This window comes from Homo sapiens, chromosome 1 (genome assembly GCF_000001405.40).
Source record: "Homo sapiens chromosome 1, GRCh38.p14 Primary Assembly".
NCBI lineage: Eukaryota > Metazoa > Chordata > Mammalia > Primates > Hominidae > Homo > Homo sapiens.
This window is the reverse complement of record NC_000001.11, coordinates 240,553,827-240,576,483: the sequence shown is the minus strand read 5'-3', so window position 1 is coordinate 240,576,483 and position 22,657 is coordinate 240,553,827. Positions and strand designations below refer to the sequence as shown.

The 22,657-nt window shown below is 38.3% G+C and overlaps 1 protein-coding gene and 1 long non-coding RNA gene across 5 annotated transcripts in view; one reads left to right on the top strand and one right to left on the bottom strand.

The window, feature by feature from the left end:
- The window catches only part of GREM2 (gremlin 2, DAN family BMP antagonist), a 122,583-nt gene that overhangs the window by 35,672 nt on the left and 64,254 nt on the right, over nucleotides 1-22,657 (top strand). Inside the window, exon 2 of one of the 4 annotated variants that reach the window (XM_047427839.1) lies at nucleotides 5,503-5,591. The exons of the other annotated variants lie outside the window; for them this stretch is intronic. The gene's annotated coding sequence lies outside the window, so the exon portion shown is untranslated. The remainder of the gene's footprint in view (nucleotides 1-5,502; nucleotides 5,592-22,657) is intronic. 4 annotated transcript variants of the gene reach the window in all.
- Nucleotides 4,613-22,635, bottom strand: LOC124904600 (uncharacterized). The gene is made up of 3 exons (XR_007067050.1): nucleotides 22,578-22,635; nucleotides 20,272-20,367; nucleotides 4,613-4,693 (listed from the first exon to the last, which is right to left on the bottom strand). It is a non-coding gene; the product is annotated as an uncharacterized LOC124904600 (long non-coding RNA).

The window sequence follows — 22,657 nt, the reverse complement described above, 5'->3', positions numbered from 1 at the left end:
ATTCTCAAGGGTTTGTGGCTTGATTGAAATCTGAACAGGAAATATGGACTGGTGATGCTAGTAACGTGACCAGCTGTCACAAAAACTTCCTCACACTCTAAGCGAAACCAGGAAGCTTCGTCAAGAGAGGGAAGGAAGATCCCCTTACAAGATTAGTAAGAGACTACATTTGAGAGGAAGGAGGTGGAGCAGCAAACCAAGGTGCAAAGAAAACATAGACAATTCTATTGCTGGCCCTAGTTCATGAAACTGAATTATCTATGAATTTAAATTCCTAGTTAAGCTTGTATGCTGTCTCCACGAATCAGCTGGTGTACATCACGGAGCTCACAGGTTTTCTTTATTGCCTGTATCCTCCAGAGAATTCATTTTCTACAAGGTATGTGGTTGTTTGCCATAGAAGAAAGTTGGAAAAAATATTTTTAAAGTTACTTTCACAGGACGCATAGCAATTTAATTCATCTTTCTTCTTATTTTGGGCACATTTCTTTTCTTTCTCGGGTTTTACCATTGATAACATTCTGTAATTTAACAAGTAAGATTTTGTTCTTCCCTCCCCCTCCATCTTTTTTTTTTTTTTTTCCAGCAGAGCACACAACACCAAAGCTCTGATGTTGTTCTTGATTCTCCTTCTATGTAAGCTTTGTTAAAAACTGAATCTTGTGCTGGGCACGGTGGCTCACGCCTGTAATCCCAGCACTTTGGGAGGCTGAGGTGGACAGATCACCTGAGGTCAGGAGTTTGAGACCAGCCTGGCCAACATGGTGAAACCCCGTCTCTACTATAAATACAGAAATTAGCTGGGCGTGGTGGTGCGCGCCTGTAATCCCGGCTATTCAGGAGACTGAGTCAGGAGAATCGCTTGAACCCGGGAGGCGGAGATTGCAGTGAGCCAAGATCGTGCCACCACACTCCAGCCTGAGCGACAGAGTGAGACTCAGTCTGAAAAAAAAATAAAATTAAAATTAAAATTAAAAAGTGAATCTTGCTACAGTGGTATTTGGAATGAACAACATATTGGTCATATAAATGCAGCAACACATTAAATGTAAGAGTTACCCTTACATAGTGACACCCCCACCCCCCAACCCAGTCTGCTTTACTTGCCTGATTCTTGAGAACTATTTGGCTTTGCAACTCTCATTCTAGAAATAAAAGGGACAAGACTTGGTGCTTTCAGCTGTGAAAGATAAAAGAGGAGGTAGAACCAACATTTACCCTGAGACTATACTACTAGCTAAGGCCGAGGGGTGAATACTATCACAGTTAAATAAAACAAAAAAGGAGGCACATCAAGGAACAGATTGTGGAGCTGGGTAGCAGCGCTAAGGATCAATTTTTTTATTTTTATTTTATTTTATTATTATTTTTTTTTTGGAGACAGAGTCTCACTCTTGTCACCAAGCTGGAATGCAGTGGTGCGATCTTGGCTCACTGCAGCCTCCGCCTCCCACGTTCAACCAATTCTCCTGCCTCAGCCTCCCGAGTACCTGGGAGTACAGGCGCACGCCAACACGCCCAGCTAATTTTTATATTTTTAGTAGAGATGGGGTTTCATCATGTTGGGTAGGATGGTCTAGATCTCTTGACCTCGTGATCCGCCTGCCTCGGCCTCCCAAAGTGCTGGGATTACAGGTGAGGCACCACTCCCGGCCCAAGATCAGAATATTATTTTAATTTTGGACTTGTCTGTCAATATATCTTGTTGCATTTTAGAGAACTCCTGTGTGTGTCCATATCTTGTTGACTACAGGCCATACTGATCACCAAGACTGTTCCAAAATCATCCACTCATTTTTGCCCTCTTCTTCCACACCCTCGACACCCCCACCTCCCCACCAGTAATTCCAGGTCCTACTTTGCTGAGTTCTAGGCTAATTACCAAGAGCTCCTTTAAGTTTACTTAACCCATCTGCAAATGCCTGATATTCCTCTTCTTTTCTGCAAACATTTCTCCTTACTTTTATTAATGGCCTCCTCCTTCTGTCCCTTCTTAGAGTAAAAGCACCTTCCTCTTCTACGACCTACACCCATGTCTCAGAACTTCATTGCATCACATAAATAAATAGGTGAGGTCATGTAAAAGCACATGTGCCACGTGAGAGAAGTTATTTTTATATTACTAGTAGGTTCTTTTCTAAGAACTTAGTTCTTAGATGATACCTTTTTGCATTATTGATGTTTTTCTTTCTTTTCTGAGGAGTGGGGAGATCGTTTTAAAATTGAATTCTATACAACAGAAAAGAAATTTTAAACCTATCTCAGGCTGGGTGCAGTGGCTCACTCCTGTAATCCCATCACTTTGGGAGGCCGAGGCGGGCAGATCACAAGGTCAGGAATTCGAGACCAGCCTGGCCAACATGGTGAAACCCTGTCTCTACTAAAATTCAAAAAAATTAGCCAGGTATGGTGGTGGGTGCCTGTAATCCCAGCTACTTGGGAGGCTGAGGCAAGGAGAATCACCTGAACCTGGGAGGCAGAGGTTGCTGTGAGCCAAGATCAAGCCACTGCACTCCAGCCAGGGCGAGAGTGTGAGAGTTCGTCAAAACAAAACAAAACAAACCTATCTCTTATTATCTTATTTGAAACCCTTAACTCATTCCTGGATTCCAGTCCCAGCTCTGAGACCCCTAGCTCAGGGTTTACCATCCTCTACCCGCAACTCAGGCTATGGAAGGTCCCAGGCTGGAAAGGAACAAAGCAACTTCTTTCAGAGCTGTTAGATTCCACAGTCACTTGGAAAGCATTAATAGCACAGTCCTCAAAGGAAGGCCTCCTGAGGACTGGGTGTTGAATCCAGACTTCACCACTTATTGGTTGTGTGACTATGGAATTTTATACTTCAAATTAGGCTGGAATTTCATACCTCAAATTAGGCATCAAGATCGCAGGACGCCAGGGCAAGACCAGAGCGCCTCTGGCGTAGGACTTAAGAGGGTGTCAGAACCTAAGTTGTAAAGATAAATAAAATCTAAATGCAATGGTTTAAAACATCAAAATTAATGCCAAAAAAATCCATGGTGAACAAAATATCAAAATTTTAAAGAAAGACAGTGGCAGCAATAATGCTGTGTAGAGTTCTATATACGAAGCCTGAGCCAAAGAAAAAAAATCAGTAATACTGATTCTGTCCTTATTTACGATTGTGATGTTTTTTATTTTATGTTTTTAATAGTTGAAAAAAAAATAGAGACGAGGTCTCATTTGTTGCCCAGACTGGTCTTAAGTCCTGAGCTCGAGTGATCCTCCCTCTTTGGCCTCCCAGAGTGCTGGGATTACAGGCATGAGCTACTGCACCTGGCCCAGTTTTGATGTTTTATTCATCGTGATTTTTTTTTTCAAATTGATTTGCTGTTTCTTTTAAAAATATTTTATTAGTATTATTTATCTTAATTACTGAGTACTTTTTGCTCTCACTTAAAATTTGAGTGGAAGCCAACTGCCTCACTTTGCATCATTCCAGTCTCAGCTCTATTTAGCATTATTTTGATAGTTTTAATTCCACAGGCCAATGAATAATTCTACTTTAAAATTAAAGAGTTTATTATTCAGGTAAGGAAAACATTTTATTTTACCTATAAAGCCAGTTGAGAGTTAGTTTTGGCTGCATTATCACAGTGATCATCCCTTTTCAGCATCCCTCTCTCTGCATATTCCTTACTGACAAGTAGTTAAAACAAGTGCTTAATCCAATGGAAATTCAACCACTAGCTACTTCAGTCAACTGCTTGACTGAAATATTTAGTCAGTTCCATCACAATTTTTGAACTGGTGGTTTCCCAAACAACCAATCCACTAAGAAAGCTAGAGCATTATCTATAAGGAACAAGAATTGTGGGAGATGTGTATCTCACAACTGGAAGAAAATAGTTTGGTTTTAACTCCCTATAATCATTAGCTTCAAGTCCAGCAGGGGACAAAATGGACTAGTTACAGGGAGTGTTTTCCCTCTGTTGACATAGGGACATAATTTGTCAGCAGATGGGGAAGACTTCGTACTCTCTAAAGTAATTTGAGTTACCAGTGGTTTGTCTAATTTCATAGAATGCAAACAAGTAAGGCTTAGAAAAGTCATTCTATGTTTTATCTGTCAAGTAATGACAACTACTTTCATTTTTGTTCCAGGAATACAGGCTTACAATATCACTTTAGAGGTGATTAAAATGAAGGGAACACACCAGTGGATTAAATTTGATTCCATGATTAGCTATCACTAAAATCCTTCTGCAACCCATGGGCAATGTAAAGGATTTGTCCGAATATTCAGACACGAACACATCTTTTTAATATAAAAAAAATGCTGGGCTTCCTTTGACCTAATAAATCTGTAGAAATATTCTAGTTGTAATTGAAGCTGGAGAAGACAACAAGAGAAAGGGAAGAAGATGCTTATTTATCATTCGTTCAGTGTCAATTACGTCTTGGATCAAAAGGTGCCAAAATCCTCATGAGGCCCTGTGGGTGTAATCAAACTCCCTGCTGGAATTGGCCAATTCCAAGTGGTCATGCTGACGTAGGTGGCTGGTCCTGGCAGTCAGAATGTCTCCGAAATGGGAGAATTGATGGACAGCCCAGCTCTGGCGTTTGGCTTCTTTATTTCCTTGGTGCTCAAACAAAATCAGCAGTTTCAAATTCCTCAATTTGAATGCTGGGAAGTGACTGGTAATGGCATTTGAAGGTCCACTAAGCACCCCTGAAAAGTTTATCATAAGGCAAGAATTACCATACATGCCAGATAAGAAATTGACCCAAATCTTTTTCTTTTCTTTTTCTTTTTCTTTTTTTGCGATGGAGTTTCACTCTTCTTGCCCAGGCTGGAGTGCAATGGTGCCATCTTGGCTCACTGCAACCTCTGCCTCCCGGGTACAAAAGAGATTCTCCTGCCTCAGCCTCCTGAGTAGCTGGGATTACAGGCACCTGCCACCATGCCCGGCTAATTTTTCTGTATTTTTAATAGAGATGGGGTTTCACCATGTTGGCCAGGCTGGTCTCGAACTCCTGACCTCAGGTGATCCACCCACCTCGGCCTCCCAAAGTGCTGGGATTACAGGCGTGAGCCACCGTGCCCAGCTTCTTTTTCTATAGAGTAGTCCCAATCAGAACTACTCTACAGAAAAAGAATTATTTTAGAGGAATCTTAGAAATTGGCCAATTCAAACCTTTCTTGTTTTACAGATAATGAAACCTGTTCAAGGTCATTCAGTCTTTTAGAATAAACCTAGATGTATAGACTTCCTATTAGTGACTGGTGTTATTTCTACCAGTTGATTCTGCCTGTGGTAGGGAATGTTCTTTTTTAAGTTGAATATAGTTAGAATATTACGGAATAAAATTGGAAGTTTTTTTACATGAAGTAGAAAAACTATTCGCATGAATTTGAGATGAAAAATGTGTCTGGTTGTTTATGTTATAGACATACTAGTTCAATTTCAAAATCATTCCTATCAAAGATCATTTTAAAGTGTTCCAAATGTTGAAATATTATGTGATTTCAATATGTAGGTATTTAACCTGGATATGCCAGTTTTCTCCTGTATGCACTGTTCCTGCCTAAGTCACAGAGTCAGTCTCTGTCCATTCCAGCCCACAAGGTAAGCAGCACTAAGCTCAGTACAGTGATCATTAATGTAAAAAGAGAGAAAGGAATCAAATATTGTATGTGATGGTAAAAGTATTCATGACATGGCCTATAAATACCTGATACTTGGATCTTATTTGCATGATACCATCATTTTTGGAATGACTTTATTGGGGGTAATGAACAAAGTAGTGAAATTGTAAAACAGGATTGTCTGTACCAAATGAGTTCCCTTCTCACTTTAAAGACCGCCTGTGTAAAACACAATTTGATTGGTTCTCTTATTGTCTACATAGGAACATTGTCATATGTGGACAGTAAGTGTTTCAGTCTTTTTATTAAAAGGGGGCATACTGGTTTTTTGCTAGTTTCCTCAACTTTCTGAAACTTGTTCACAAACCTTCCATATTCTGCTTAATTTGGTGGGTTTTTTTGTTTTTTGTTTTTGAGAGAGTCTTGCTTTGTCACCAGGCAGGAGTGCAGTGGTGCGATCTTGGCTCACTGCAACCTCCACCTCCTGGGTTCAAGCAATTATCTTGCCTCAGCCCCCCGAGTAGCTGGGACTACAGGCACGCGCCACCATGCCTGGCTAATTTTTGAATTTTTAGTGGAGACAGGGTTTCACCATGTTGGCCAGGATGGTCTTGGTCTCTTGATCTCGTGATCTGCCCGCCTCAGCCTCCCAAAGTGCTGGGATTACAGGCATGAGCCACTGCACCCATCTGTTAATTTAGTTTTAAAAAGACAATAGCATGGACCCAACAACCTAGCTTTCCAGTAAAAACATTTCAATGTCTATGAAAATCGAATAAGTGTCTCTGTTTATATATCAACCACTTAAAGCATCCACAGAATAGAAGATATTTTCAACTGAACTGTAAAAACATAGCAGATTGGACATCAATGTAACTGCCAAAAATCCAGCAGGAGGCAAACAACAGCCCAATACAGAATCAACATAAGTTTCTAATGCAATTAAAAAAATTTTAGTGAAGTATAATTGGCATACAATAAACTATGTGTATTAGTCTGTTTTCACATTGCTATAAATTTTGATGAAGTCTAATTTATCAATTTTTTCTTTCATAGTTTGTGCTTTGGGTGTCATATATAAGAAATCTCCTAACACAGGGTCGCAAACCTTTCCTTTCTTTTTCTTATGTGAGTTTTATAAGTTTTACATTTGTATCTGTTACCCATCATGAGTAAATTTTTGTATGTGGTGTAAGGTATGGATCAAAGTTCATATTTTTTTCCCCATCTATGGATAGCCAGCTGTTCCAATACTATTTGTTGGCTATATATCCGTTCTCTAACAAATTGCCTTTACATCTTTGTCAAAAATTAGTTGTCTACGTATGTGTAGTTCTACTTCTGGGCAAACTATTCTTTTTCTTTGATTAATTTATATATCTTGACACTAATTAAACACTTTCTTGATTATAGTAGCCTTATAAGAAGTTTTGAAATCAGGCAGTGTTAGTCTTTCAACTTTGTTATTCTTTTTCAAAATAGTTTTTGGCTATTCTACATTTATTTTCATATGAATTTTAGAATCATCTTGTAAATATCTCCAAAAAACTGCTGGAATTTTTACTGAAATTGAATCAAATCAGTAGATCCATCTGGCGAGAACTGGTATCTTAATAATCCTGAGTGTTTCAGCTCATGAACAAGATATGTCTGTCTCCATTGATTTAAGTCTTCTTTAATTTCTCTCAGCAATATTCTGTAGTTTTTAATGTACGCATTTGTACATCTTTTGTCAGTTTTCTAGTTTTCTTCCAAAGTGTTCCATGTTTCTGTTGTAATTGTTAAGTAATTTTTTGTTTGTTTGTTTTTGTTTTTTTAATTCAAGAGATTTCACTCCGTCACCCAGGCTGGAGTGCAGAAGAGGCACAATCCTAGTTCACTGCAGCCTCAAACTTCTGGGTTCAAGCAATCCTCCTACCTCAGCCTCCCAATTAGCTGGGATTACAGGTGTGAGCTACTGTGCCTGGCTGCTTTTTAAATTTTTATTTCCAAATGTTTGTTCCTAGTATATGAAAGTACAATTATGTTTATATATTGACCTTTTATCCTGCAACCTTGCTAAATTTATATGTTACTTCTAGTATCTTTTTATAAATTCCATTAGATTTTCTGCATAGACAATTATGTCGTTCATTTGAGAATACAGACAATGTGTTAATTCTTCATCTAGCTTTCTTTCAATCAAGAAAGAAAGGCTAGGTGCCTCTCTAGTTTTCTTTGATTAGTGTTAGCATGGTATACTGTTTTTCATCTGTTTACTTTTAACCTATTTTAGTTTTTATATTCAGAGTATACTTATTATAGATGGCATATACTTTTTTTAATCCAATCTAGAAAGATCTTTCTTTTAAGGAGCTGTTTAGGCCATTTAAATTTAATGTGATTATTGATATAGTTAGGTATAAGTCTATTATCCTACAATTTGCTTCATATTTTTCCAGTCGCTTCTTTGTTCCACTTTACTTCATTTTCTGTCTTCTTTGGATTGATAAATTTTTTATGAATCCAATGTATCTCCTTTGTTGGCATATTGCTATAACTGTTTGTTATTGTTTTAGTCTTTGCTTTAGAATTTATAGTGCATATTTTAAACTTATTACAGACTACCTTCAAGCAATAGTATACAACTCTATACATAACGTAAGAGCCCTAAAAAAGTATACTTTCATTTCATCCCTTCTGGCATTTATGTGATTATTGTCATATATTGTATTTATATATATGTTATAAATGCTACAATACGTTATTTTTATTTTTATTTTTTGAGACAGGGTCTCACTCTGTCACCCAGGCTGGAGTGCAGTGGTGTGATCACAGCTCACTGCAACCTCCACCTCCCAAGTTCAAGTGGTTCTCATGCCTCAGCCTGCCAAGTAGCTGGGATTATAGGCACACTCCACCACATCTGGCTAATTTTTGTATTTTTAGTAGAGACAGGGTTTTACCATGTTGGCCAGGCTGGTCTCAAACTCCTGGCCTCAAGTGATCTGCCTGCCTCAACCTCCCAAAGTGCTGGGATTACAGGCTTGAGCCAATGCAGTTGGCCTGCTTTTATTTTTATTTAAATAGTCAGTTATCTTTTAAAGCAATTCAAATGATAAGAAAAAAGTCTTCTATATTTACTCACTTGTTACCATTTCTGTTGCTCTACATCCCTCTGTACAGGTGCACATTTTTACCTAATATCATTTCCTTTAGACTTGAAGGATTTCCTTTAACATTTCTTATTATGTGAGTCTACTATTGATGAATTCTTTCAGATTTTGTATATCTGAATATATATTTCTAGAAAAATCATTTTGTTGAATATTGAATTCTAGGTTTATCGGGTTTTTGCTTTCAATACTTTAAAGACATTATTCCATTGTAATTTTTTCCAAAGAGTAATGCACTTTTTTCTTTGTTACTCTGTATATAATGTGTTTTTTTAATCTTGCTACTTTCATGATTTATTTTTTGTTGCTGATTTTGATTAATTCAATTATGGTGTTCCTTGATGTGATTTGTTTCAGTTTTCTTGTGTTTGAGGTTCATTGGGATTCTTGGATCTGTTGGTTTATAATTTTTACCAAATTTGGAAATAGTAGGCTATTGTTTTTTCAATTATTCTTCTTCTCCTATACCTTTGGGGATTTCAGTTATACATATATTAGACCACGTGAAGTTATCCCACATCTCACTGATGATCTTTGTATTTTTTAAAATTATTTTTCTCTGTGTTTCTTTTTAAATAGCTTCTGTTGCTATGTCTTCAACTTTATTAAACTTTTCATTTGCAATACATAATTTTATTAATCCTATCCAGCGTATTTTTAATCTCAGCTATTGTAGTTTTCATCTTTAGAAGTTTGAGACTTTTTATATTTTCCATGTCTCAACTTTCTGAATATATGGAATATCATTATAATGACTTTTCAATGTAGTGCTCTGCCAATTTTATCATTTGTGTCCATTCTTATTTCATTTCAGTTGATTGCTTTGTCTCTTCACTATGGTTCATACTTTCCTGGGTTTTTGTTTTGTTTTGTTTTTATTTGTTTGTTTTTGTTTTGCATGCCTGGTAATCTGTGATCGAATGCCAGATATTGTGAATTTGACCCTGCTGGGTACTGGATATTTTTGTAATCCTGTAAATATTCTTGAGTTTTGTTCTGGGGAGCAGTGACATTACCTGAAAATATTTTGATCTTTCAAGGTCTCTAATCCATTTGATTAATTCTCTTCCTGGCCTTGAATAGTTTCCTCACATACATTCTTTGATCAGATTCAGCCGAATCCCAGAGGAAGGCTTTCTGAAGATCACTGCACCTCTCTCTCATCTCACAAATTCTGTCCTGAGAACTCCAGTTACCTCGATCTCCCCAGAGTCGGTTTCATCTCCTCAACTCAGAGGTTTGTCAGGCTCCACCTCAGTTTCCCCTCCCTGCAGTGCAACCTAGAAACTCTCTCAAAGCAGTAAGCTGGGGGCGATCATAAGGTTCACTTTATTTTCCATCTTCCAGAGATCATTGTTCTTGCTTGGTGTTTGGTGTCTTGCAAGCCATGGTTTCAAATATTTTGTCTGGTTTGTTCTGGTTTAGCCTGGGTATTGGCATTGGTTTTAACTGTTTCAGGCAAGAGCATAAATTAAGTCCCTTTACTCCACTTTGGCCAGAAACAGAAGTCCTCAATTTAATTTGTAACCTATTTTAAAACTAGTCTACATTTTCTTTTGAAAAACTTTATATATTTATATGTCTCAGCATTTTAAACAGTAATTTAAAGCTTAATGGTACAAATATCACATGGGAGAAATAAAGACCCCTGGTTTCAAAGAAAAACACAAAAGCTCAGAGGTTAAATGATTTAGTGTTTGCCTGTGACCGTAATGCAAACCCCTGCAAAAAAATTTTACATGACCATGCAGGGGTCTCTTTTCTTAGTTAAGGATGACTGTACCCTAAACTGTAAAATAATTGAGTTTATGGAAGATACAATAAATAGGAATAACTGAATAACTGTTTTGTTTTGTTTTTTTTTTTTTTTTGGAGACAGAGTCTCACTCTGTCACCCAGGCTGGAGTGCAGTGGTGCGATCTTGGCTCACTCCAACCTCTGCCTCCCAGGTTCAAGCAATTCTCCTGCCTTAGCCTCCAGAGTAGCTGGGACTACAGGCACTCACCACCACACTCAGCTAATTTTTTGTATTTTTTGGTAGAGATGGGGTTTCATCATGTTACCCAGGCTGATCTCGTCCTGAGCTCAGGCAGTCTGCCCACCTCGGCCTCCTAAAGTGCTAGTATTACAGGCATGAGCCACCGGGCTGGTTGGGAATCACTTCTTAAATACTTATTTGGAATGATCGTACCCAACAGACCAAAGTAAAGGTATGAATTCCCTAAAACATTGCTTTAATTGATGATACTTATTGGAGTTGATAAAAACATAGCCTACAAAACCATTTGTAAAATATTATTATCTGAAGCCTTCCTCACTTCAATTTATGAAATACATTGATAAAATGTTACAGTCAAATTTTGGCAAATTGAGAGTGCTCTCAATTTTAATGATTCATATTGCTAATTTGATGTTACCATTTCATAAGTGAAGATATGACATTATAGTATACAACCATGCATAACTTTTGAATAGAACTTTGTCCTGACCTAAAAGAAAAGGTGTAATAATGATAGAAAGTGCCATAAAGCTAATCTCCAAACCCCACAATCACACATTCAACAATAAGGTATCCCCTATCCATGTAAAATAAAATATTAACATAGGTAAATACCAGAGACACAAAACAAATCCAAGAGTAGATCCAGGTTTGCTGGAACCTAAAATGTATAGAATTTGAAGGTTTCCCTTAAGGAACACAATACCAAATTTCAAATATGTAACTCTGACAAAAAGGAAGTCAACACAGTATTCCTGAAAGGGTTCCAGTCCTGGAAGGCTGAGTTACCCTCAAAAGCAACTATAAACCACATCAATACATCATACTCAACCCAAAGAAAACGTAGCTCCAACTCAAGTCTCCCTGAGACGAAAAGTACAAAATATGTCTATGGCCACACCAGTGCCACCTGATGCAAGGAAAACTGTGCAGGAAGGCAAATGGGAATGGAAAGACATTCAATATTAATCTATTGCAGTTAATATACCTTGCCTTTGCAGGTGTTACAGAACCATATGACCTCGTGCATATATTGTCAGGCCCTGGGGTCCCTGAGGTAATGCTTCATTAGCTTTCTCCTAACCCCACCTATGAGAAAAAGAAGGGAGGAGACTTCATGGAAGTACAGACTGACACAACTTAAAATCATCATCTCTCTTCAAACAAGTAACTTTATTATTTATTTATTTATTTTAATTTTTTTTTTTTTTGAGACAGGGTCTTGCTGTGTCACCCAGGCTGGAGTACAGTGGCACAATCTTGGCTCATTGCAACCTCCATCTCCCAGGCTCAAGTGATCCTCCTGCTTCAGCCTCCCAAGTAGTTGGGACTACAGGCGCATGTGACTGCACCTGGCTAATTTTTGTATTTTTTGGTAGAGATGGGGTTTCAGCCATGTTGCCCAGGCTGGTCTCAAACTCCTGACTTCAAGTGATCTACCTGCCTCAGCGTCCCAAAATGCTGGGATTACAGGCGTGAGCCACCACACCCAGCCCTATTTATTTATTTTTGAGACAGGGTTTCACTATGTCCCCCAGGCTGGAGTGCAGTGGCACAGTTACAGCTCATTGCAGCCTTCACGTTCTGGGTCAAGCGATCCTCCTGCCTCAGCCTCCAGAGTAGCTGTTACTACAGGTGTGCACCACCATACCCAGCCAATTTTTAATTTTTTGTAGAGGTAGGGTCTCACTATATTGCCCAGGCTGGCCTTGAACTCCTGGGCTCAAGTGATCCTTCCACTTTGGTCTCCCAAAGTGTTGAGATCACAGGTGTGAGCCACCAGGCCAGGTCTAAACAAGTAACTTTAAAAAACCTCAACATTGGGCACTCATGGGGATCTTGCCTTTAATACATCCCTAAACAGAGAAAGTTCAAAGGCCATTGGGTACATGTCTACCTATAGGTTTTATTTAACCAGGAACATAAAAAGGAAGGTTAAAGGAAACAAGTGGGTGAAAAATGGGGAGATGGACTAGAAATGTCATCTAGATATGTGGTCCTGCTAGCACAGAGATTTACAAAATGCCCAGGATCCCAGGTCTACCTGGACCTCTTAGCTCCATCCACTGACTCAGTCACTGACCACCTAAACAGTTGCTATAGAGACCGCCTAAGGTTCCCATGGATGGGTGCCGTTGACTAAACATCCTGGGAATCTCAGACAAAAGGTAGCAACCCTATCCCATGCCTGGATTAATAGCTGGGCACGGAACATTTTTTCCATCCTCAGCTATTCTGTTCTTGTCTAAATCAATTTGCTATGCCATTATGTTACAGAATGTATTCATACAGCAATTTTTGCTAACTTACTTCTTGCCCTTCCATACGCAGTAACAAACAGAGAGAAGTCCATCCACCATGAACCTAGCCTGAGGAGCATTGCATTCTCTGGTCACAAGTCTTCATATTTTTTTTAGAACACTGCAGCGCGTTTGTAAAGAGACACTAAATTAAAAACAAATATGTTCCTGTGCATACACACACACTCTCACGCACACTCAAACACACACTCACTTACACACACTCACACACGTACACATACACACACTCACACGTACACACATACACACTCACACACACACATACACATACACACTCACATATACACACATACACACATACACGCATACACACACTCACATATACACACATACACACTCACTATACACATACACACATACACACTCATATACACACATACACACATACACTCACATATACACACATACACACTTACATATACACACATACACACACTCACACACATACACACTCACACACTCACACACATACACATACACTCACAGACATACATACACACATACACACTCATACACACATACACACTCACATATACACATACACACATACACACTCATATACACACACTCACGTGTACACAATACACACATACACACTCACATACACACATACACACTCATACACACACATATACATACACACATATGCGTGCACACATATATACACACATACACACACACACACACACGGCAATCCTGTAGTGCCCCACATTTCTATATAGTAAATGCTAAAGAGAAAAGCCTATGTCAAATATAATTTCCTCTGGAGATATTGGAAATCCCAGGACATTCTCCAAGATGGTGTTTCTTGGTGTCTTTCCCACAAAGAAATATTAAACTAATGGCGTGGATTACACCTTCGGTGAAAGGTGAAACTGAACACCAAGGCAGCCCCTGGAGGATTAGGTTTTGATTTCTGACACCACCTGTTAGTGTAAGAATCGTAACCGCTGAGAGCACAAAATGGCTCAGAGGCGGGACTGCTAGTAAAGTTCACAAGTGACCCTGTCAGTTTTTAATTTCAGTCATTTTGCTAGGCTGACAAGGTAAAAGGACTTTAGTAAAAGGGCATCCAGTGCCACGACTGTAGATTTGTTGAATCAGGGTCATACAGTTCACAAAAGGAAAGGAGCCCTGGGGCCATCTGTTTATATTGACCATTTCTCTACATTTCTGAGTCAGCAACAAGCAGGCAATTGCATCATCTGCCCTCCAAATAACCACTGTCACCCCAAGCACACACTTCATCCCGAAAATGTTTCATTTTTTTCCCCTTTGTGTAAAGAATCTTTGAAGTAGCCAGAAGAAGCATGGTATTTTATTTAATATTCACATAGTAGCTTGTGATTATTATAATACATTTAATTAGTCAATTCTTCATCAGCCTACTTATTTGACATCTTGTTGAAACAAGAAGTGGTTTACAAGGTGAAAAGGAAAGAGTATGGCTTTCAGATTCAGATGACAGTAGTTCCCAACGCTGAACCCTCAATTTGAAGATTCTGTAATTTTGGAAAAGCTTCTTATTCTAAGTATCAGTTACTTTTTCTCTAAATAGAAATAATACCTCTGGTGGAGATTTGTTGGGAGGATTAAATAAATATTATCCATATATCTGGCAAATAATAAGTAGACAATAGATATTTCCATTTCACAGTTCCTATGGCAGTTTGTGTGTGTGTGTGTGTGTGTGTGTGTGTGTGTATGCAGGATTATTTTGTGTGACTAATGACAAAATTCCCTAAGTTTTCAGCAAAGGTCTCAAATAATTCTTTCCATGAAAGCCTCTTATCGAGGCATTAAAATGATTGATTCTGGGAATATTTAATTTTATTATTCTTAAAAGAGCTCTGTAATATGAAGTAGCTTATTTATGGAACCAAAAGGTCTTCTTCTTTTTAACTGAATTCCCTATTAGATTTCCACGTTTTGCTTGGGACTGTTAGGTTGGGCAAATAAAATGTAGTGGAAATTAATGGGACAAATTGGAATTCGGCAAAGTTTATTTGGCTTCGCTCTGTTCAAACTTACCACACAAAATCCTTCACGTCTTTTAACTCCCTTGTGGGTGATCTTTCTCCCAAATAACCCTAGCTTTCTGCATTCAATTAATCCACAAGTATTTATTAAAGACTTCCACTGAGACTGTGCCATACTAAACACTATGGGGTATGCAAGAAAAATAAATGATGACAGATTATATAGTACTTAGTGGTTCACAAACCACAAGTAGAACCTGTCTCCTTACCTCTTAGTTTCACCTTGAAAAAAAATTTCCACACTCTAGGAACTTGAAATCCAGAAAAATAAGATTATCTCACCTTAATCAATTAGCAAGCAATTGATGCTTATCTATTTCTTAAGTCGTGTGACCTAAACTTTCTTAAATAGTTGGCCAGAAATGGGATATATCACTAGGGGTTGGGTCACCAGGAGTTACATCATGGAAATGTTTGCATTTTAGGTGGATGTTAAAGGCAAGGAGAAAAAAAGAGCGGCTGTGAAATAGTGAAAGTATGTGACTTGTGGGCAGAGTGGATCACCAGATATTTATAAGGAGCCAGATGATTAATTTGGGATCAGGGAGGAGAAGGTACGGCTAGAGACACTGCCTTTAGCTAGATGAGAAAAGCTTGAATACAAGGCTGGGCTTTATGCTATTTCATTCTGTAAGCCATTATGGTGTCAGTTAGGGGAAAGAGGATTGGAAGCAAGAGGGTTAGAAGAAAATAGTAAACCCAATAAGATCAGATTCAATAAAGAAATTTTAATTTGTTTCTCGAGGGTTCACCTCTTGCCTTGTTTTTCCATTAATTTACCCACTGTCTTCCCCACTCAAATAACTGTTTCACTTAACTGTCCTCTTCATTCAGTTTGGTTCAGTTCATATACTTTTTGACCACCTATGATGTGCTAAACACAGTCCTAAAGAAACAAAAAGTGAGAATCAATCCACTCTCTCAAGGAGCTTACAGTGTAGCCCAGAAGACATTTTCTGACCTGAGACCTGAGACGTTTTCTGGGTGTCCTCAAGGTCATGATTTTGCCATAAACCCTGATAGCACAAAAGCAGGGGTGGGTACAACTGCTGGCACCTGAGCACCCATGGCGGCAGTATCACCCAACTGCACTGGTTGTCATATTCTTTTGTCAGGCAATGGCAGAAACAAAAATTGCCAATTTCACTTAAGAACGTTCTCCATACAGCGGTAAAAATTCTTAACCATATTAAATTTTAACCTTTGAGTAGATGTCTCTTTTTAATAATAATAATAAATGAGGTGAAGTCTCACTGTGTTGCCTAGGCTGGTCTTGAACTCTTGGACTCAAGGGATGCTCCCACCTCTTCAGCCTCTTAAGTAGCTGGGACCACAGGCGTGCTCCAGGGACTCAGATGTCTTTTTGATACTTCCTGTGACTCACTGCATAAAGCACTTCTGCTGCACACGGAAACACCGTGACTGTTTCAAGATAAAGGCGCCTGTGCCATTGTTTGAGTTGAACATATCGAGGCACCACTGAACACCATGTTTCACAGAACATTTTAATTAAAATGCCAGACTACAGTTAGTCCAATATGAGCATTTGGGAGAAATGTTCTCAAAATTTAACAAAATGAAGCTATCACTTTGAGAAACGCAACTGACAGTATTTGCAAATAAAAAAATTTAACTTTTTAGGAAAACACTAGAATTTTGGAAATATTTATTTGCCACCAGTAATTTGTCAGCTTGTAAATACTTAAAGACTTTTTGGCCAGGCGCAGTGGCTTAGGCCTGTAATCCCAGGACTTTGGGAGGCCGAGATGGGTGGATCACCTAAGGTCAGGAGTTCAAGACCAGCCTGGTCAACATGGCGAAATCCCATCTCTACTAAAAATACAAAAATTAGCCGGACCTGATGGCGGGTGCTTGTAATCCCAACTACTTGGGAGGCTGAGGCAGGAGAATTTCTTGAACCCAGGAGGCAAATGTTGCAATGAGCCAAGATTTCTCCATTGTCCTCCACACTGGGTGACAGAGCAAGACTCTGTCTCAAAAAAAAAAAAAAAAAAAAAGACTTTTTGATGAGATTGGCGGTGATACTAATGACCGATTTTTAAAAAGTATGTATTGTACAATAGATGTGTCAACATACTGTACATCTGCACAATTCATTAAGCCAATGTATGAGGTTATAAAATCATGCTTAAGTAAAAGATCCAAGTGCACTGTAGACCAATGAATTTCAATGTAACAGAGTTCGAGAAATTCATTAATATAGTTTGAAATGTCACATTTTAACTAACCCTTAAAAAACTTTTTTATGTCAAATTTTGGTATACTAACAAAGAATACCCACAATAATTACGTAGAAAGGGACAATCATAATCTGTATGTGGGAGGCCACATTTTCTTTGTATACTTCAACCAAAATAACAACACAACAGGTTAAATACAGAGACAGCGAGGGGAATCCAGATGTAAGAGATCTGCCAAAAGGTAAAAGAAAAAATACTACTCTTCTTACTTATATTTTTGTTGTTTTGGGAAATATAGTTTCTTTTCATAAAACAGGTAATGAGTTTATTATCATTATTTTAAAATAAATAAATAAATATTTAAAATTGTTTTCAGTTTTCATTCCCAATATGATAGATATAACCAACAGAAACTAAAGTTCTCTGAGGTTCTTATCAATTTTTTAAGGGCAAAATGGATTCTGACACCAACAAGTTTGAGAACTGCTGGTCTAACCAATCACAGGGCGTCCAGGGAAGGCTTTTCCCACATTTCAGGTGCTCCTTTTACCCTCTGATTAATAGAAATCAGTGAAGCTCACTAATTATCAGGGTGCAGCTATTACTCAGAACTTGCTAAGCTTCCTCCGTCTGCCATTTTTATGTCATGTATTTCCCTTTCCATTCTATTTATTTAATTTCATTTTTCCATTAATTTAATTAATTAATTTCAATGTCATATATGCTTTGCAGGCTTTTTTCTTTTCAATATTTAAAAAAAATTCATCAAAATTGTTTTCGCATAGTTTTGAGGCAAATTTTCTACAGAACTTGACAAAGAAATTGGATCTCTCTCAGCTGCCAAACCACCCTCAAATTTTCAGCCCCCAAAGGCAATTACTATCAAAGTTTCCAGCTGATTCTTCGGTTATCTTCCTCTATCTCTTTCCATAACACACTTATGTTATGAAGTCTTAATTTTCCAATCGTTAGCATGCTATCTACTCACTCCCCACGTGGAAGATGAGAATTGAGCTCCTTTCACTTCCTGGTCCCTAAACCAGCCCTCTCCTTGTCCAAACACTCCTCATTTCCTCATTCTCCCCAAACCAACATTTCAATTAGATAAAATTTAACTGCATACATTATTATATATGTATGCATGATTCACAATAAAACCATGTTGCACAGTTAGCAATTTTTCTTTCTCATTTGTTTTGTTTTCTCTAGATTAGTAATTTTCATTTTCTTTCTACTTACCTTTTTTTCAGCCTCAAACTTTTCTTTACCTGCATAATCTGCTGGTGATATTGTAATCACATTAGCTGTTCTCTTATTTTCATCTTGCTGAGGTAGTCACCCTGTCTGGGTGGTTGCTCTCCAGGCAGCTCGGTGGTAGCCATCTTGGATCTCTTCACCAGGACTCACCCTCTGTTGCTGACCCCTTGTCCTTCTCTTTTTTGTTTTTTTCCTTAGTTTGATGAGACACACTCTAGTAGCTTCCCCAAAAAGGGTACATGGAAGATTAAACTTCCCAAAATGTATATGCCTAAAAATATATGGATTAATAGATTGTAAATGAATAAACAAAAAAATAGATTCATTATTTGGAAGATAATTTCCATTTGAAAATCATTTTACTTCAGAAATTTAAAGTCCTTGCTCTGTAGTCTTCTGCTTTCAGGATGGCTGTTGAGAGGACCAATGCTGTTTTCATTCTTGGTTCTTTGTACAAAAACTATTTTGGTGGTTGTTTTCTTTTTCAGGAGAATTTTGGGTTCTTCTCCTTGACCACACTACTGAAAATTAGTGTGCTTTGGGAATGTATTTCAGTTTACTGTCTGGATATTGGTGAATTCTTCAGCGCCTAAACATTTTCCTTAATTATTTTGTTTAATGATTTCTTCCCTGCTGGTTTCTCAGGTCTCTCTTCCCGTGATTCGTTTTATTTATTTTTTATGTATTTTATTTTATCTTAATTTTTATATTTATTTTATGTTTTTTTTTTATGGAGACAGAGTCTTACTGTCACCCAGGCTGGAGTGCAGTGGTGTGATCTTGGCTCACTGCAACCTCTGCCTCCTGGGGTCAAGCAATTCTCCTACCTCAGCCTCCTGAGTAGCTGTGACTACAGGGGCACACCGCCACACCCGGCTAATTTTTTGTGTTTTAGTAGAGACGGGGTTTCACCATGTTATCCAGGCTGGTCTCGAACTTCTGAGCTCAGGCAATCCACCCACCTTGGCCTCCCAAAGTGCTAGGATTACAGCCTGAGCCACCACGCCCAGACATCCCATGATTCTTTTAATCAGATATTCGACCTTTCGCAGTGGTCCCTTACTTTTAAAAAAAGCATTTTTCTCCTGTTTTGCATTTTTGTCATTTTGTTTTTAGTTTGTGGAGATTTCTTCAAGTTTATCTTCCAATTTCTGTCATTTTTTATTCCTTGCTGTTTTATTTTTTAATTTCAAAGCGCTGTTTCTTATTCTCTGAATAATGCTTTCTTAGTATCGTCTTCTTTTTTCTCGTAGGAATAATGCCTTTCTTATCTCTTATGAGATTTTGAAGTTTTTTTCTGCCTCAATATTTCTCTTTTCTTTTAGTTGTTTTGCCTTTTGGTTAGCTTGCTTGGGGCTTTGTCTCTAATCTTAGAGGATTTCCTCAGATGTTTTGCTGATTGATGCCTGGTAGTTTGTGGGTTGTATTCAAAATTAGAGCACTCAAAAACTTACTTGAAGGGCAAGACTAATAAGTAGACTTCCTGATTGTGGAATGCACTGCAGAGTGATCTAATTTGGCTCTTTATTTGGAAGGCTCCAAAGCCAGTATCATTAGGCCTTTTTATTCCCTGATGGTGCTAATAGATTTCCCAAAGAAGGCTCATCCTCTGCCTAGCTGCAGAGTTCTGGGGGCTGAGCTGGGGAGGAAGTCTGGGGATTTCACTCTTCGAACATTTGCTCAATTACCTTAGCACATGGCCTCCCTTTTAACTGGTGTCCTGTGTTCCACTGTGCCCGGCGTAAGTGAATATTCTTTATAAAGCTACTTGAGGGTATTGGAATCTAATAACAGAGAGAAATGGAGTTTGATAATAAATGATGGCTAACATCAATCTCTCATTATTTTCAGTATTTATTGAGTACACATTATTAGGATATGCTCTACTAGAAACTCTTAAAACCTGTAAAGAGGTGTTGGAAAGCTAATTTTTGTCATACCTTAGAAAAATAAATTCAAAAGGGAAAATAAGAGCCAAAGGCTATTAAATCAAAGGTGACTAAAATATCCTGGCAATTAAAATCTGCCTACTCTGTGGGAATTATGAATTGACTGCAGTTTTTGCATCTGTTTGCAATCATGCTATTCTCCAAGGATAGCTGGGGTGAGTGGCTAATGGATAACATACTTTAAATATCTTTCCAGTACAAATTTTTTAAACTCTCAAATTATTGAAGGTACATTTTTCACTTATCTCTTGATCTCTGATAAATTTCTCTTAACTGTATCATCTACATCCAAAATATGCACGATACCAGCATTCCCCAGTGTGAACACTCAGTACTAGTTAATGCACAATTTTCATTTTGATCTTCAGAGACAGCAAGAGGGCACACCGAACACTGCTATACTTTCATTGTATCTGATTTGGCTCTGACTTTGTCCTAAACATTTTTACTTTTTTACAAATATTTGAATTATTTACACCAATTTTAGAAACCAAATCTACTCATTCATTTCCACATTGCCAATAATCGTAGCTAATGCTTTTTGGCCTTATGCTTTGTGCCAGGCCCTGTGCTAAATGTTTTATGCATATTAACTATATTCAACCCTCACAGCAATCCAGCATTACAGATGTCAAAACCAAAGCCAAGGAGGCAGAATAACTTCCTCAAGGTCATTTAATTAGTCAGTAATAAAAGCAGGACTTAAACTGCCCCCAACCCTTCATTCTTCAATATTACAAAATAAGGCCTCCCAGAATATGGTCACAATTCTTTTTTCTTTCTTTCTTTCTTTCTTTCTTTTTTTTGAGATGGAGTTTCTCTCTTGTTGCCCAGGCTGGAGTCCAATGGTACGATCTCAGCTCACTGCAACCCATGCCTCCCGGGTTCAAGTGATTCTCTTGTCTCAGCCTCCTGAGTAGCTGGGATTACAGGCATCTGCCACTATGCCCTGCTAATTTTTGGTATTTTTAATAGAGACAGGGTTTCACCATGTTGGCCAGGCTGGTCTCGAACTCCTAAGCTCAGGTGATCCTCCCGCCTCAACCTCCCAAAGTGCTGGAATTACAGGCGTGAGCCACCGCACCCACCCACAATTCTTAAATTACAATAGAATCTTAACATTAGCATAACTAATGGGGAGAAGTAGAGGAAAAGGCACAAGAAATGCCAACTGAAATTCCAAAGAAGGAAAACATGTTGTAATTATTGGAATGAGATAAAAACTGTTAAGCATACATGAAAACCATTGTGCAAATTGTGAAATTTAATCTCAGTTCTGTTTATTTTGTGACAATGTAAAAATCACAATTTTAAAATAACGATTTAATAATTGCTGGTACTCTGCCTGTGAAAATGTGTTTGTTCATGTCAACACCTACTTATGAAAAAACATTGCTTACTTGGATAAATTCAACTGGGTTTGGAAGCTACAGTTATTACAACCAAATAATGTAGGCTCCACCAAAAAATATGTATATACATATTATTTCTAGGACTATTTGGGCAACATAGTGAGACCTCATCTTTTTTTTTTTTTTTCGAGACGGAGTTTCTTTCTTGTCACCCAGGCTGGAGTGCAGTGGCGGGGTCTCAGCTCACTGCAACCTCTACCTCCCAGGTTCAAGCTATTCTCGTGCCTCAGCCTCCCGAGTAGCTGGGATTACCGGCTCCCGCTACCACACCCGGCTAATTTTTGTATTTTTAGTAGAGATGGGGCTTCACCATGTTGGCCAGGCTGGTCTCTAACTCCTGAGCTCAGGTGATCTGCCTGCCTCGGCCTCCCAAAGTGCTGGGATTACAGGTGTGAGCCACCACAACTGGCCTAGAGACCTCGTCTTTACTAATAAATAAATAATAAAAGAGGAAAACAGAATGATGCAGAGTGGAAGGCAATACCCTAATGCAGGTAGCATCCAAGTCCGGAGTTGATGATCCAAGCAACCCCAGAAGCTAGAGGCTTTGCTGAGGTCACAGAATGCCAACAAGCCCCTCAACCACTCACAGCTGATTGCTCACTCTTGACTAGAGATTTCATTCATACATACCTAGGATTTACTTTTCACCTTCACTTTTTTATTCTTGGTCTGTGTATTCTAAATCAGATTCTCATTCTCCATAAGAAGTG